The 18,190-nt window shown below is 43.0% G+C and overlaps 1 protein-coding gene across 3 annotated transcripts in view; it reads left to right on the top strand.

Moving 5' to 3' along the window:
• MRPS27 (mitochondrial ribosomal protein S27) overlaps nt 1-9,059 on the top strand; it is a 100,838-nt gene extending 91,779 nt beyond the window's left edge. For all 3 annotated transcript variants that reach the window (NM_001286751.2, NM_015084.3, NM_001286748.2), the window contains 4 exons: nt 94-196; nt 2,263-2,405; nt 4,612-4,779; nt 7,314-9,059. In NM_001286751.2, the coding sequence (NP_001273680.1) occupies nt 94-196; nt 2,263-2,405; nt 4,612-4,779; nt 7,314-7,553 (654 nt within the window). In that variant the 3' untranslated portion in view covers nt 7,554-9,059. The remainder of the gene's footprint in view (nt 1-93; nt 197-2,262; nt 2,406-4,611; nt 4,780-7,313) is intronic.
• The last annotated feature ends 9,131 nt before the right edge of the window (nt 9,060-18,190 follow it).

The raw sequence follows: 18,190 nt of genomic DNA, 5'->3' as shown, positions 1-18,190 counted from the left end.
AACATGTTCTTTTCCTCATGTCATTGAAAGTCACATTTTTGTATAAAGTACTCATTGCTTAGATGGATCATGATCCAGTATATTCTGTTGCAGTGGGAAGAGGAGAGGAACTTTGGTGCATCCCTTTTGCTTCCAGGCCTAAAACAAAAGAACTCAGTGGGTTTCAGTTCCCAGTTGTATGGCTATGCACTTCTTGGTAAGCTAAATGATCCTTACAAATACTGTTCTTCATGGTTAGAATTGTTGCATTCTTCCAGTTCATAATAAAATTGTAATTTGATTTAAATTTACCAGTGAAATCCAATTAGCCTTCGTTTTTAGACATAAAAATAGACCTTGATGGCCTTACAGTTACTCCATAAGAGAGTAAAGAGGGTTCTTAAAACCTGCCATCACTGGCAAAGCAAGAACTAGTTCTGGTGGATATAGGTAATAATATTCAGTGGTAATCAGTCTGAAGAAGGGATAAAGAAAGGGATGTTCTGGCCCTGTTTAGGGAGACTAGCTAGTAGAATCTTTTCCAGTATTAACAAAGATCTTTCTGTCTCTTTAGATCTAAAGTCCAGAAGGTAAGAAATTAAGAGTTAGAGTTGAACTTGTATCTTTGGTATTGTTTTCAGGTAAGGGAAGATAAACTAAGAGCAGAAGTAGTAGCACTTCAGGAAAAGTGGAGTGGTTCATGGGTACCATGTGATTGCACCAGGAGGTGCAGTGGTGGCTTTCCTCTTGTGCCCTGATTGCATTGAAAATCAGACAGGTTAAGAGGACAAAGCCTTCTGAAGAGTGGCCTCGGAACCTGGGTTGTGTGGAATCTGGGTAAATAAGATTCAACCTAAATGTAACGTCCCGATTTACAGACGTTTATTAAATTTATGTTATTTCATTACTCTCCCATCGTCTCTTAAGTAGTTAGGCATCTCTCAATTATACATTGCTTCTGCTTACCTTTGTTTTTTAAAAATCATAAAGTTATAGCAGTTTGACTGCTTTTGAAGTTGATCTTTGCCAACAGAATGTAGTGTGTTATTCTTGGTGCTGATTCTGATATAATAACTCAGGAACTTCAGAGTTTATTGACTGTCTATCAGACTAACAAAGGAGTTGACCACTCTTTTTAAAAATAATTTTTTCCTTATTTGCCACCTACTTTTGATATTGATTTACATGTATTTTCCTTTGCTTTCAGATCAGCATTCAGGACTGTCATACAGCCTGAATTGGTCAGAAGTGACAGGGCAAAGAATATGTACTTTGTTGTGGTTTGTGAGCAGAGGCCCTGGTTCTTTGTGATAGCAGCCATCAGATCAGAAGCTCTTTGCTCTCATTGTGTCATTTGCCGTGCAGCCTCACTCAGCCCTGATGGAAGCAGCTGCCCAGAATGTAACTGCAGTCCAGCCCCAAGCACCTTAAAGGTCTAAAATTAGCTGTCGCCTGATAAGCTTTGTCTGTTTGTGTCCTACTCTGGCTTTCCCAAATCCTCCTTCCCAGGAAAGATAAAAGAAGGTGGATTTAAGACTGGGCAGCTCAAGGTGACTTTGGTCATTAGTGCAGCCAGGTTCTGTGCCACAGGAATACAGACAGCCATCTCCCTACCAGAAGACCCTGCTGTCTAGCATCCACATCTTGAACTCCAGGTGTGATGGCTTGAGGTACCCAGAGAAACATTCATGTCCAGAGATCCAAAAAGATCATGAGAACTCTGTTATTTTAAAACTGACGAAACTCAAAGGAAAGAAGGGAAAGATGAGGGGTTTTTTTTTTTCATAAGGATTGGGTGTTTTGAAGGATTTCAAAAAATGACAGACATTTCCTAGCAGGGAAAGTTGTCGGATGTTGACAAAATTTTCACAGTGGGAAAGCTGTGAGATTTCTTTTTCTGGGGAAGATTTTGTTCTTGAAACAAAAATTGTATCTCAGTTGACTTGTTTTTTAAGAGTATCCTTACCTAGAGCCATATATGTCAGCCTCTCAATTGCCCTCAGCCCAGTGGTTTATATATACATCCTCAGCCCAAATGAGAAAGAAGAAAACTAAGTTCATGTAATTTTGCATTACAAAATGGATACAGTGAATTTTACCACATTCGTCATTATCCATCTGAAGTGTCACCGAATGAGATGAGTCTGTTGGTACAGATTTAAAATGATCCTTCTCTATTTCTAGTGCTGCCAGGTGAACATTCACTTGGGCCTTCAGGTCCTCAGTCTTAGAAATGGTGGGAAGACATGGCTGAGCATTCTTTATTGTTCTTTTTGGCCACAGGGAAGGTGGAGTTGCAGCAAGGGCTACGGGCTGTGTACCACAACATGCCTCTGATATGGAAACCAGGCTACCTTGACAGAGCCCTTCAAGTGATGGAGAAAGTGGCTGCCTCCCCAGAAGACATAAAGCTGTGTAGAGAAGCGGTATGTTCTTCAGCTCTAAGGCAGTGAGATTTAGCCATCTGTTTCCCATAACCTGAGCTTTAAATTTGTTTTCATTGTCTTTCCACTACCCCTACTTTCTATATGTCTATAGAATAGGTATTTATCAAGTCGAAAAAATGCAAAACCACAAACATTTTCAATGCTCCTGACCAAAGGCACTAGAAAATATGATTAACATTGATTTATAGTTCATTGTCTAGGAAAAAAAAACTATTCCACTGCCTCGTCCCTCACCTCCTTACCAAAAAAAAAAAAATCTCAGTGGGAACTCAAGAGAGGGTAAAATTTCATTTTAAATATGTTTGGTGTTTTTGTAATACCATGTAGTCCTGAGAGGCTACATAGCATCTTTCCCCATAAAAGTCCTCAAGAAATGAATCTGGGGACCAGAGATGGAACCATCTTAAACCATTCTGTGTGAATGTGTGATGCTGATGAGATCTCGGTCAGATGTTTCTTTCAAAGTTCTAAGGTGTTCACTTTACCAGGACGAGAACACTACTCTCCCACCAGCCCCAAAGCTCATGCCTCTTGGTCACCTAGGACCCTTGATGGTATGAGGTTGCTCGAACTCCAGGAGACATGATGCGCCTTACACCCCACAGGCAGCTGCAGTGTCTGCTCCTGTCCAAACAGCTTTTACAGCCAGTGTGAGTCCTGAGAAGGACATTGGTTGTCTTGTTACCATGGCTTAAAGGTCACCGTAGAGCCACATATTTGTTTTTTCTTGACTCTGGTTGCTAGAGTCATCCCTTGGCTTTCATTTCAGTCCTGAGGTGGTCAGGTCTGGTGTCTGTCCTGTCACCTTATACTTATGTCTAGTGAATCATTATGCTCTTTGCCAGACGTTTATAACAAAGGATATACATTTCTCACTATACTTGTTTTAACCCTGCTGTAGTCAGTACTGGTAATTGAAAACACAAAATTATACATAAATCCTTTGCCAGGGAAATATTCCTTCCAATCTCAGCCAGATTTGCATTCTTTGCATTCTAACAGTAGAAAATGAGTTCACATGTCAGCAAGAATGTGCTATGTGTCCAGTTTGGATGTGATGTATTAGTGGTATTAAAAGGCCTTGGCATATTTTTAGGATTTCTGTTCTGATATGACATAGACAGGATTAATTCGTTTCAGGTAGGTGTTTCTACTGGCCTTGCTGTTGTTAATATCCCATTTCTGATGATTAGGCCCTCTGTGGGTCAAGGGAGATATACCTCAAAGTGAAAGTAGAGGGGAGAGGGGTCAAAACAAAAATGCTCTATTTTTAAATTTACTTCCTAAGTCACAGAAATCACCTCATTCAAATGAATTTCATGTCTGCATCTCTGGTCTTTGCCAGCAGCTTATGTGGATTACACTGATCCTTAATTTACAGATACCATGTGAGCTAAAAATCTTTCTGAGGGGGACCCTTGCCTGTATCCAGAGGCTTTAACATACACTTAAAATGGCCTTTGGTTGGTTGTGTTCTGTAATTGCCTATCCCTTTGTCCCAAATCCAAACTGATTGAGGAAGAAAGACATGGAAGTGGGAGGTACTTTAGTGCCCATCAAGCATAATTCCTGGATTCCTGTCTGGCTAACTAAAAGCGAACTTAGCTGCCATTGTGCGGATTCACTTATACAAATAATTCGTAGCTCGCTTATTTGGCATTTTGTTGTTTTGTCTTTGAGACAGGGTCTCACTATGTCACCCAGGCTGGAGTGCAGTGATGTGATCATGGCTCACTATAGCCTCCACCTCCCAGGCTCAAGCAATCTTCCTGCCTCAGCCTCCTTAGTAGCTGAGACCACAGGGGTGCACCACCATGCTTGGCTTTTTTTTTTTTTTAAGTGATGGAGTCTCCCTGTGTTGCCCAGGCTGGTCTCAAACTCCTGGGCTCAAGCAATTCTTCCACATCATCCTCCCAAAGTGCTGAAATTACAGGCATGAGCCACCATACCCAGGCTAGCTTGCTTATTTCTACTATTTGTCTTGTACTGTTTTCCACGCCATCTGATAGGGTGTTTATAATGTGAAAAAATATAACCATTTATATTTCCTACAATTTTATAAGAGAAATGTTTTCACAGTCTTTTAGAGCTCATTCTTCCTTTCTTTCGCCTTCTCTAGCCTTTCTTCACCATGTGCTTTTGGGCCATAAAACATTTGGTTGCTGACCCTCTTTCTGCTCCACAGCTCGATGTGCTGGGTGCAGTGCTGAAGGCTCTGACTTCAGCTGATGGGGCTTCAGAGGAGCAGTCCCAAAATGATGAAGACAACCAGGGGTCAGAAAAACTGGTGGAGCAGTTAGACATCGAGGAAACAGAGCAGTCCAAGCTTCCTCAATACCTGGAACGATTTAAGGTGAATCATAGCAGAACGTGTCTCTCTTAGCAGCGCATAAAACACACTTCTCTCCTGTGGTGATGGATAAGCATTCTTTCTGCATCAATGTCACACAAAGAGGCATTAAAAACTGACATCAAAAATTACATTTTTATTGCTTTGCACAGGAAGTGGTCTTAAAAGAAACCAATGGAATTTTTATGCTCCTTTTTGTACTTGAGCTAATTGGTCACAGTTTTGTTCACTAAGGTGGCATGTCATTACCCACTTATTCCTGATATGCACCTGTCAGCTGGATAATTGCTTGCCTCCTCATAGCAATAACCTGACTCCCACCCCAGGTGGAAAGTATCTGGCCATTTCTCCATCTTGCACTAAATGTGCTTGATAACCTAAAAACCCAGTTAGACACTATAATGCCACATTTGAGTGTGTAGAGATAAGACGTGGGCATCTTTCTTTGCTCATCTTTGGCAGCTTTGTATTGTTCTCTTGTGCTGCATAGAAGCTGTAAACAGTTTGCATTGTTTCTTTCCAGAACAGCCCTGAGCACTCAAGCTACCTTTGGTAGCTTCTAACTCTGTACATCCCAAAATGCTCTGTGATCAGTGTCAGGAAAGAACCGTGTTCAGTGTTTGAACTCTTGGCTTCTTAGCTGCTTTGATTCTTGTCTAGTGCAAAGGGGGAAAAAATGCTGTCAGAATGGGAATTCTTGGTACAGCAAAAAACTTTCCCACTTGTTTTGTGTAACTTGTGTCATTTTGGTACTGATAAGATGTAAACTTTGCTAGATTATTATGTTTAAATATTTTCAGTAATTAGAACCTAATTCCCAGTGTTGTAAGGAGGAGCCTGTTGTATTTTTAGCAGCAATTTCTCCCAGTACTTCTGTAAAGTCATTGCTCAACTTCCCTCTTATAATTTGAAACTGAGAAAGAAAGGTTAATCGATATTCCCAAGGTACCCAGAGAATTGGCAGTATAGCTGGGATGAGAATTTGCATGCCTGCCCCTTCAGGCTCTTTGCTTAATCTTGTGTATTTACAAAGGCTAAAGAAAAAAATCTCCTTAGCCCCATATATTATGATTCATTGCATTCACATTGACCAAGGTTGCCATACCATTCTTAAAAATTAAAACTTCCTTCTCTTGTTTCTTATATACTTTGCCTCAGAGAATAGAAACCTGTGCCTGCATTAAGTTCTCAGCCCTCATTCCTCTACAAATGTATTTTTATGAAAATTTTAAAAAGGCAAGTATTTATTGACTACTAACTACATGTTGGGCACCAGTGCATTTCTCCTCGCAAGAGCTCTGGATGCTAGAGACTACCTTTCTCATGTTAGATGACAGCAAAGCTGAGAAAAACTAGCCCAGAGTGACTGACTTTAGGTTTGAACAAAAGTTTGCCAACTCGTAGTTTAGTCCTCATTCTGGTGTCCCAAGCTGTCTTGTTGGCCTCAAACCCCACATGGAGAGCGTTGTCAGAGAGAGATCATTTTCGTTTTACATTTCCTTTTCTTCCTGTTGCCTGATTTTTATTAGTCAGAGGTCATTTGTTTGGGAGCCATTTTTATATGATTGACTCTCACACTAGGCCTCTGGCCCCTCCTGGAGCCTAGGCACCCTGCCCACCCCCAACCCTGTTAAGCAAGCCTCCTTTCCTGTGCCAATGAGTGGCATTTGTTTGTGGAACATGGGGATGTGTGGTATAAGCTACAGCTGGCCCCGTAAGTGGCCCTCTCTCTAATGAGAGAGTACATCTTAAAGTACTTAAATAGATTAATGTTTTTAATACTTACTTCTCCAGGAGCACAACACCAACCAAACCAAGGTGCCATTTCAGATGGAGCTGTAAGCAGGCAATACATAAAGACTGACCTGCAGTCTTAGAGTTCCTAAGACCCAATGCAGTGGAGCACAGCAGGCAGACGCTTCTAACGGTGCAGGCACTCAGGGGAGCTATTCCTTGAACTGATTTCCGTCTGTTGAGAGGAATGCCAGAAAGGCAAATACTTGTTTCAGTTATTCCGAAGGCACATGTATGGTTGGGCTTGCTCCAGTTATCAGATGCCTCTGCCATTTTGTTTGCATATTAGAATTCTTATTTTTGGTGTTTGCTGCTTGGTTTGGTTAGGTCAGGGTGGAAACATAGATTTGTTAGAGGCTGGCTGTCTTTGTGGTTTAAAACAAGAAATTACACAGGGAGACACAGCATATGGAGTTCCATTTACTGTTTTTGAGTGAAAGGGGAGAAATCACATGTGGTGCATCTTAGCAAAATTGCTGAGCTGAAAAAAATAACCACAGCTAACAGCACCTGAATGAAAGGCAGCATGACCATTTCCCAACAAAATGGTTTTTTTCTACCAGCAAAATGTGTGGTTATTTTGCAGGTGACTTCATTCTGGGCCACTAGAATGAGGACTAAACTACGAGTCAGCAAACTTTTGTTCAAATCTAAAGTCAGTCACTCAGGGCTAGTTTTTCCTCTTTGTATCTTTCTCTCACTTCTCTACCTTTCTTCTCATTTTTCCCATTTGTTTCCAACAGGCCTTACATTCTAAGCTTCAAGCTCTGGGCAAAATTGAGTCAGAAGGTCTTTTAAGTCTGACCACCCAGCTTGTCAAGGAAAAACTCTCCACCTGTGAAGCAGAGGACATCGCCACCTATGAGCAGAATCTGCAGCAGTGGCATCTAGACCTTGTACAGTTGATCCAGAGAGAACAGCAACAGAGGGAGCAAGCGAAGCAGGAGTACCAGGCTCAGAAAGCAGCAAAGGCATCTGCCTAATAGGGTCCCCCAGGGCCCCACCTGTCTCACAAGAACTTCACTCAACCCCGTGCCAGGACTCAGCAGTGGCCTGGACAACAGCCTCAGCTTCCTCTACCCATCTTCTTTTCTTAAAGCAGGCTATGTGCCCTACATGGCAAGGCACCATGACTGCCCATCGAGATGCCAAGAAGGGCTATGGAACTATGCAGGTGGCTAGTGGTCAGACTGAAGTCACCAGCTGAATACCTTAAGGAGGACTCTTGAGGCTCATAATGGAGTTCCTGGGGCACAGGGATTAGTTATGAGCATTAAAGTTCCTAAGACCCAGTGACAGTACTGGGAGAAACCAAGGCTGAAGAGTCAGGTTGAAGCACAGGCTTTTGTTTTTTGTTGTTTTTGTTTTTTGAGACAGAGTCTCATTCTGTCACCCAGGCTGGAGTGCAGTGGCGCAATCTTGGCTCACTGCAACCTCCGACTCCCAGGTTCAAGCAATTCTCCTGCCTCGGCCTCCTTTAGTAGGTGGGATTACAGGTGCATACCACCACACCTTTCTAATTTTTGCATTTTTAGTAGAGATGGGGTTTCACCATGTTGGTCAGGCTGGTCTCAACCTCCTGACCTCAAGTGATCTGCCCGCCTCAGCCTCCCAAAGTGCTGGGATGATAGGCGTGAGCCACCACACCCGGCCAAGCACAGGCTTTTGAATGGTCTCCCTCTCCCCAGCCCAGGTACATGAGGCCAAGGTGAACTGTGCATCCTGAGACCTTGTGTCCCTGAGTCTCCTTTCTGAGTGCAAGCTGCACTGTGAGCTGGCTGTGGGATACTCACACATTCCCACATTCTCCTTTCTGCCACATCTCGCCCTTCTGGACCTGCACTGGGAGAAATTCAGGACAGGAGTGAACTCAAGGCCATGAACTCACTGGATTTCCATTTTTAGGCACCCATAGGGATGTTTTTAGGATGTAAGTTTCTGAGGAGAAAGCTAGCTCTAGCATGAAGCTTTTTTGGATTGGCTTCTCCATCGTGTTGGGGTAACATTTTTTTTCCAATTTTTTTTTTCCCAAAACATCGTCTCAGCTCATTTATCAAGTAGGTAAAATGAGCCTTTTGTGTACACACAGAGGCACATGTGCATGCACACACAACTTGTGAACACACATTTCTGTTAAAGAAGTTAGAAAATGAGAGATGGGTTGGGGCTTGAAGTGCATCAGAGGTATGAATGTTGTAAAACTGTCAGGAGATGTAAAATTCCTTTCTGAAGTGTCTCTTCTGTGAAAGGGTTCAGAGCAGATTTTGCTTACTATGTAGTGTTGCCCTTAAGTACAGTGGTGTAATTTTATTCAAGATTGTGCTCTTCTATCAAAAGCCTCTGGAAATAAATGTTCCGGGATCATGTTAGTGTACTCTTTATCTTTGGGGAAAGGGAGGAGGGAGAGGGACTCATTATTGTTACTATGATTTTGAGGAGTGTACTTTAAACCCTCCCCCATTAAACTATGGGATTTATTGTAATAATGATAACTGCCACCACTAATATTTATTAAGGACTTAACTGTAGGCTGAAAACCCAAGCAGCCCTATGAGGGAGGTACCAGTGTCCCCATTTTATGAAACAAAGCAGCTCTCCTGCTGCTCCTCTCCCTGCCTGTGGCCTCCATATAGAACCGCAGTAGTCAGGATCCAACACAGGGCCCTTTAGACTAGCAAAGCTGCTGAATCTTACTTAGGTAGAGGGCCGTGACCAAAAGTCAGTTCCAACATTTTGGTTTACCAACAACAGGAGTTTTTCAGCCACTCTCTCATTACATTAAGAGGAACATTCAACACAAACAAAAGGGCAACTTTTGCCCAGTAAATTAATGACTGTCACAACATGAAGTATCTGGTTAAGGCTTTGGCTCATCGTTTTGCCTTCATTTTTCCTCCCTCTCCAGCCCCAATGTACTTTACTTCTCTTCTTCACCAAAAGAGACCACTTCTGCCACTGTACTGTGGTCCCACAGGAATTTCCATGTTCCCTCCTCCTCAGGATTCCTTCCACACTTGTGCCCCATTTCTCAGGACTCTTGGAGTCTTTCCCCTCCAAATATTCTGCCCTTTCCCCATGTCCTTATCTCCTGAGCTATAGGATACTCTCCTGCCTTCCTTCACAATTGGCTCTTCCCAATACAGTTGTCCTTTGTCCCTTTCCCTGATGTCATCTTCCATATTTCTTCCATGTGGATGGAGAAACTGCTCTTGGTGCCCTGGCCTCTGGAGGTTACCTCAACTGGATCATCTCCCAGTAACAAATTACCTTCTGCAGCTGACCTGCCATAGTCACAGCCAAACCTCCAGCCTCATCACGAATCCGAGATCTTAGATCCTGAAGTCCCCACTCTCCCAGGCTCGTCTCGTACCATGACTGCTGCTGAACCAACTTGCTCTGTAATTTCCTGCCTGCTAATCCTTAGCCTTTACCCCATCACCCAAACTCTTGGTCTCCAGAATCTGCTTCTCTTCCAGTGTGGGCCCCATGGTCAGCCATCCCCATGTTCTCATTAGCATCTTCATTTTCTCTCACTCCCTTTATCTAGGCTCACTTGCCAGCCTTCGACCTACATCCTTGCACCCATCTATTATGGGTAGAATTGTGTTCCCTAAAAAAGGTAAGTTGTATCCCTAATCCCCAGTCCCTTAGAATCTGACCTTAGTTGGAAATAAGTTTGTACTGAGGTAATCAAATATAGAGTGAGATCATCAGGGTCAGCCTGATCCAATTTGGTGTTTTTTTAAAAGGGGAAATTTGCACACACAGACTCACAGAGGGAAGATGAGCATGTGACCGTACAGGCCCAGGAACACCAAGGCTTGCCAGCAAACACCAGAAGTTAGAAGGGGTAAGGACGCTTCTCCCCTAGAGCCGTCAGAGAAAGCTTGGCCCTGCAGACACCTTGATTTCTGAGTTCTAGCCTTCAGAACTGTTATTTTAAGCCACACCATTTTTGGTACTTTGTTACTGCAGCCCTAGGAAACTGATAACACCACCATTCATTTTCTCTTTGGTTCTGACTTACTAAGTGTAGATATATAAAGTCATAATATTAGGCTGATTAGATTCTTCTACAAAATTATGGCTGTTCTCTTCAACTCAATAGTCCTTCCTTTAATTGACTCTCATTTTTGCTTCCATAGCTTTTCTGTTCTGCGTTAGCTCGAAGCCCTGCCCTCAGAACTACAAGCAGATGTTCTCTCCATCATCCTTCCTACTTTCAAATAATAGGTATCCCCTCCCTCCTTTCAAAGCTTAGGCTCTTCATTTGTGACCTTGGCCCATACCTGCCCACCTGTTCTACACATTCAAGCATTCCCTTTCCGTCTTATAGCATCTCTGTTGATTTCTTCTTCTAAGTCTACAGTCTTATTCAAGACCTTATTCAACACTTTTTAACAGCAAAAAATCCTTTACCCTGCCATCAGTCAAGCTGTCATGCTATGTCTCCTTCCTTATGTCTCCAAACTTCTTGAAAGGGTATCTACACTTACTGGCTCATTGTTCATTCATTAGAGGCTGAGAATTTGGCTTATAGCTTTACCACTCTGCTGCACAACATGGTCATCAACTACAGTGATCTTTTTTTTTTTTTTTCCTTTTAAATGCTCTGCTCCATTTGGTACCACTGACCACCCCTTATAAGCTTGCTGTCTGCAGCAGACTTACTGTCTGTTCCAGCACTGCTTTCGCAAGCTCTCAAGTGTTCGGTGTATACTGTGTACAAGGCACTATACAAGTGCTATGGAGTTTACAAGGATGAATAAACTATAGATTTTACCCTCAAATAACTTAGATTCTAGTGAGGCTGGCACATCCACACCCGTCAATACACAGCTGAAAGGTGTCGTTAGACAAACAGTTAATGTATGTGGGAGTTCACAGGAAGATCACTTTAAGCCCAGTGATGGGAAAAACTCTAATGAAGGGAATTAATTGCCTGCTTTGTGCATTAATTAGTCACATATGAGTGCCTCAAGCTGCCCTGGGGTCCTCTTTCCACAGAGGCTTGTGTGATGTGTTCATGAGAAAATACTTTAAATTAAGCTAAAATGAACAATTCAGATTAAACTTGTTTTGGCCCACATCCCATACTTACCTTGGCCATAAAAAGGAAAAAAAAGCAAGGCGGTGGAAAGAAGAAAAGAAAGAAAAATGATAAGGTATTATCCTCCCCTCAGTGCTGTGTTGCCTTGGCACCCAGCCTTGCATCCTGTTTTCCGACCTTCTCGTTGGCTGTGGAATCAGGTAGGTGTGTGAGAAGATTGGTTTAGATTCTACAAGAAGTAGTCAGAGGCCTTGAAAATAAGTTGATTATACCACAGTGGCTCACACCTGTAATCCCAGTACTTTGGGAGGCCGGGCCAGAGGATCACTTGAGGTCAGGAGCTCGAGACCAGCCCGGCTAACATAGCAAAACTCTGTCTCTACTAAAAAATACAAAAATTAGCTGGGTGTGGTGGTTGGCACCTGTAATCCCAGCTATTCAGGAGGCTGAGGCAGGAGAATCGATTGAACCTGGGAGGCAGAGGTTGCAGTGAGCCAAGATTGAGCCAATGCACTCCAGCCTGGGCAACAGAGCGAGACCAAAAAAGTTGATTAAAACCTTTTTTCACACTGAAAACAATTAGTTTTGCCATTCTTTGTTGTCTTTACTTTTGTGCATCTTCCCTGAAAATATACTGCAGCATTCTACTTTTTTCTTTTTGCTGCAGGTATCTGATGAGCTTTGGGAAACTCTCTTATTTTAACCACTGAGGAAAGGAAAAGCAGCTGCTGTGGTGGAACAGAGAACTTAGAATTAGGTATGAAAAACATTTCTAGAAGCTCATTGTGTCACTTAGGCCCCCCAGGAAGCAGATCAGCATCAGAGTCAGAGGTAACAGTGAAAGCAGTTTTGGGGGGATAAAGCCTGTGAAAAATGAAAGGAGGTGGAATTGGGATTGGGTGAGGAAAGCCTTCAGGTGGAGGTCCTACATCTGCAAAAGGAAAGGAGGGAGGAAGCACCACCGCCTAGCCTCTATTGCTTGAGGGGGGAGATTTTCAACACCCATCATCCCTATTGCCAACAACACCAAGCATAACCTCCTTTTCTATTGTGAGTTCTAGTCTGCTACCAAACCTGGTGACACAGGTGCCTGCTCACCAGTGCCCTTCCCCAGTGCATTCCCAATGGCCTCGATGAGCGGCGTGCCACCTGGCCCTCGAGGGAACATAGTTCTCTGCTGGGTCTTCTGGCTTCCTGTGATATATGTATCCACTCCAGGAGGCTACCCTGAGACTTGTAATCCTTTTCTCCTGGATCTGCCAGGTCAATTCGGGTATTTCAGTGGTTCTCAGTTCAGGCTATCCCTTTCTCCAGGCTTTTTTTATGAGCCATTGTTGCAGCAAGTCTGCAACACCCCCTGGAGTGTTAAACCCCTTAAGCATTTTATGGATTCTGAATTAATTATTTAGAACTAATTGGTGAGATTGGCCCTAGACTTTAAACTCCATGAAGACAGGCACTCTGTGTGTCTTGTTCATGGTTGTGGCCCAACACACAGAACAGGCATTACCATGAGGAGGGGGCTTATAAACATTTATTGAATGAATTATTTTTTATTAGGTTAAAAGGAAAGTCCTCCAACTGAGGTATAATTCCCAGCAGAAATTCTGAGATGCTAGAAGCCGTATGTCCTAAGCTGAGGTAGTTTAATGCCAAAGAAAGCCTCTTTGGATTTCTACGAAGTGTAGTGTAAGCCAAAATTGACACCAGGAGGAAGGTTTGTGGGGAAAAAATAGGGGGGTGAGCATGGTGTATCATATCAGAATTCTCTTCTACATATGTATATCACACCTGCCTCAAAGCAGGGAGTTAGGAAGTGATGAAGCTGTAACACAAATCTTATCATTTATAGACCAATAATAAAAGCCAATGTTTATTGACCATCTATAGCCAAGTGCCATATTAAATTTTTGTATGCATGATCTTATTTAACCCACAAGAATATGCCCATTATTACAGCTCTTTCTATATACAAGATAACAAAGACTTAGAGAAGTGATTAAATGCCAGGGTTTCCCTCTGTGAATTGGAGAGCCAGGGTCAAACCCATATCTGACTCCTAAAGTGCAGTCCCAAACTCGGAAGATCACTGTCTCAGTTTAGGTTCCCCCTAAAGCAAGACAGGAGACAGAAATTGAGTGCCGGTGCATTAGTTGGAGGTGATCTTACTAAAGCAGGTGAGGGAAGGAGAAATTGAGACAGGGTAGAAAGGAGAGCCAACAAAGGGTGCATAATTGAGTGGATTGTGGAAACCAGCTCATTCTTGCTGTGGACCCTCTGAGAGACTCTGAAGAGCACACCTCAGCAGTTCCTCTGAAAGGCAAGGAAGCAGCTAAGTATTTGCCCATTCAGTCTATTCCCTCATGGGTTGGGAGCACTATAGCCTACTCCTAGTGCAGCGCCATCACACTCCCATGACCAGGAAACACCCTTGGGCAGAGACCAGGAAGAACTTAGATTCTAGTGAGGCTGGCACATTCGCACCTGTCAACACACAGTTGAAAGGTGTCGTTAGAGAAACACCATCCACTGGTGGAGAACTGTCTGCAGATGACCAGGAGTAAGCCCAGGGCAGTGGTTCTCAACCAAGAGTGATTTTGTTTCCAGGGGACGTTTGGTAATGCCAATGTATTTTTGATTAGGCTGCTATTAGCATCTGACATTTGATAATGTCAAGGTATTTTGAGGGGCTGCTATTAGCATCTCGTTCGTAGAGGTCAAGGATGCTGCTAAACATCTTACAGTGCACAGGACAGTCCCTCACAACAAGGAGCTATCTGGTCCAAGATGTTAGTAGTGCCGACGTTAGAAACCCTGGCCTAGGGTTTACAGATGGAGCATTCACAGGACTTTTTCAGGGAATGTAGATGAGACCCAACAATGATATTTGTAGCAAATAGCTCATTCACAAATGATATTTCAGGCTAGAAGAATAATAGTAGCTGTTTCTTGTCTAACTCTGAATATAAATATAAAATATGCAATGATGCAGAGTAGGCCATTATTCTTCCTAAGTAAGATCCATTAGGGAAAAGAGTAAATGGTGATTTGTATGGTTTTGCTGTCTGGTTGTAACTGGAGTAGGACTTTTGAGTTCCAAAATGTAGATGCTGTGAAGTGACCTTGCGTGAGTCAGTGGAAGGTGATTCTGCTGGCACCCTGCGCATAGGTGAGAAAGAGATGAAGTGGAAAAAGGTCTCAGAGAGCTTTGACTTTAGTGAGTCATCAAAGCAGAAAATGTGGTGTGGTTGTATTTTCATGAGCTTTTCGAATTCTGAAAATGATCAATTTTTAAAATTTTGCTTTAGGAAATGGTTGGAAAGGAGCGCTTTTCAACAAAGCAAAATTTCCTTTTATTCTAAATAACAGCCTCTTAGCTTGAAAATAACCTCTTATTCCCCATTGATTTGGCCTTTTTGCTGATACTGCATACTGCTTTGAGGATGTTATTACCTGTGTGGTAACAGGGAAATCCAAACAAACGATGGTGGCAACGCTGCTGAGGTTGTGGCAGTAACCACTAGGATCTTTGTTTAAAACAAAATCATTGCTTGAGCTGTGTGATTATTATGTACAAAAGAGAGTCCAGATCTGAGCTGGACATATTCAGAAAACAAGAAGTTTATTCTTGTAAAAAGCACCTGAAAATAAATTTCATCATGGATTTTAAATGCTGGATCAAGGACTATGATGAAGATGTATAAAAGGGGTATTATATCCTCTGATGCCCTCAGTGGTAGAATTGTTTGGTTTTTTGGCTTTTATTTCCCATGATGCTTCATCTCTGCAGAGTTCAAACTTCTAATCCTTAAAACACCCTCCAAAGTGAATATGCATATGATAGTAGGTAGAATAGACCATTAATGCCCATTACAAATGTCCTCCATTGATAGCATGCTGGGCCACTGCTGGGTATGAGTGTTTCCCAGGCTCTGGCTCATTAGTTCCCATCTTTTTTTTTTTTTTTTTTTTTTTTGAGACAGAGTCTCACTCTGTTACCCAGGCTGGATTCTCCTGCCTCAGCCTCCTGAGTGGCTGGGATTACAGGTACGCACCACCACGCCTGGTTAATTTTTGTATTTTCACTAGAGACGAGGTTTCACCACGTTGGTGAGGCTGGTCTCAAACTCCTGACCTCAAGTGATCCACCCGCCTTGGCCTCCCAAAGTGCTGGGATTACAGGTGTGAGCCACCACACTGGGCTTTGCCCCAACCTTGATCACAAAAATAATAGTCATATGGAGACCAGGAAGGTAGAGAAAAAGAGAGTGCTAGGTAAATGGTGGAGATTGCAACTTAAGATAAGGTGGTTAGGGAAGGCCTTCCTGAGAAAATGACATTTGAACAAAAACCCACATGGGTGAGATTGAAAACCGTGGAATCACCTGGAGAAAATGCATGTTGAGCAAAGGAAATAGCATAAAGGCCTTGAGATGAAAGGCTGAATGCCTGAGGAATAGCAAGGAGGCCAGTATGGCTGGAGCAGAATGTGTAAGGTGGAAAGAAGTGGGAAATGAAGTCGGAGAGAAGGGGTAGAGGAGGAATGAATTGTGTAAGCCTTCTTAGCCCATCAGTAAAGACATTGGCTTTTACTCTAAGATGAGAACTTACTCAAGAGCTTTGAGCATGGGTGGCATGATCTGACTTAACATTTTTAGAGGATTACTCTACTGTAGCTGCAACATGGAGAATAAGCTAGGAGGGCAAAGATAGGAAACCGGAAGGTCAATTAGGATGCTCCTGCAATAAACCAGGAGAGAAATGATTGACTTGGACAAGGGTAGTAACCGTGAATGTGAGGAGAAGGTATCAGACTGATATATTTTGAAGGTCAAGCCAGCAGTACTTGCCGGCCAGTTGATTTGCTGATGGGCCAAAATTTTTGGCCTGAACAACAAGAATATGTATTTGCCATTTACTGAGGTAGAAAAGCCTAGGAGAGAAGCAGTTTGCAAATGGAGATCAGGGGTTTGTTTGGGGACATGTTACATTTGGTTTAGGGTATTTTAAAGACTCCTATTGGATATCCACATGGAGATTTTAATGGGCACTGGATATATGAATTTGGAGGTAAGGGATGATGTACAGGCTGCAGATATAACTATAAAAATCATCAGTTTACACATGGCATTTAAATTCCTGAGACTGCATTAAAGCAGCATGCATTTCTGGTTTTAGTGGGGACAATCTGAGCCATGAAATAGAGCTGTGTCTGTTGGTGTACGGCGAGATCTCCCTGTGAATCAAGCAGACCTCAGAAGCCCTGCTCCACCATCTGTGAAAACATTGCCAGTAACCCCTGGAGAAGTATCCAGAAGAACTGCTCATATTAAACGAACTAGGTGTGACCAAAACTGCATATATGGCTCCGGTGAATTTCCAAGGCATACAATACAAGATCAAAGAGGAAATAGTTCTGGAATTATGCAAGGGACCAAGAATTCATGAGTCAGGAGTGTGTTAAAAAAAGCATTGTAGGGATATAGAAAATCATCCAGAATGAGCGGTACAATTAAGAAGAGAGAGAAAATATGATCACAGGACCTCAACAGACCTTTGTTGATTTTCTCAGAAGATAGGAAAAAAGAAACTGAAGGAAAGCTGCCGCCAACTTTTCCCCCTCCATTGTGCCTAGATGGGGGGAGAAGGGGATGTAAACAGCAGGGCAGGGTTCAGGTAGGGTGACTAGCCCTCACTGGTTCCCAGGGACTGAGGGGTTTTCTGGGACACAGGACTTTCAGTGCTGAAATCAGGGCAGTCCTGAGCAAACCAAGATAGTTGGCCACCCTGGCTTCAGGCCAGAAGGAAGGCTTCCTGGAACTGAACAATTTGGCAGTGGAATAGAAAACAACTTATTTACTATTTAATTTGAGTCTGATAGATGAAATTAAAATCTGTAAGTGATGATTTCCCACCCTGAGTGCTCACATGCTTAACCCTTTAATTTCTGGAGGGATTTCAGAATCCCTCTTAGCAAGCAGTGATTTCTGATAGGACCATTCAATGTAGCCCCATGGTTTGGAGGGGAAATGTTAAGATCAAAAGGAGTGGATATGACACACAGAGGGATATCATAATAACTCAGGACAGGCTGCTGGGGTCTTTTGAGGCTAAAGGACCATCTCTGCAGACAGGCAGGGCCCAGTCTTGGAGGTCTCTATTAAGAACCTTATGGGCATGTTTTTTGTGGCCACATGGTGGGAAACTGAAGTGCCAGGGCCTCCCCCATTTACATGCTGCCATTGTGAGCAGTCTGTGCTCCTTAACATATGCTGATCCTGCTCTCTGCTGAGACCCTGTGTGAGCTCTTGTCTCTGCCTGGAATTTACTTTTGGTCCAACCAATGCACACACACACACACACACACACACACACACACACACACACACACTCCAGAGCTCAGCCGAGACATCATTTGCGGTGCTTTTCCTATGGTCACCTAAGCTCGCTCTTGAATTTTAGGAGCCCCCATCACGATGTGGTATCATTGCCTCTGCTGGTCTGTCTTCCCCCAATCAGTTAGGGCAGCAGTTAGGTTATATCTTGTAATATAACCTACTGCCAGGTACA

This window comes from Homo sapiens, chromosome 5 (genome assembly GCF_000001405.40).
Source record: "Homo sapiens chromosome 5, GRCh38.p14 Primary Assembly".
In the NCBI taxonomy this organism is placed as follows: domain Eukaryota; kingdom Metazoa; phylum Chordata; class Mammalia; order Primates; family Hominidae; genus Homo; species Homo sapiens.
This window is presented reverse-complemented; position numbering and strand designations above follow the sequence as displayed.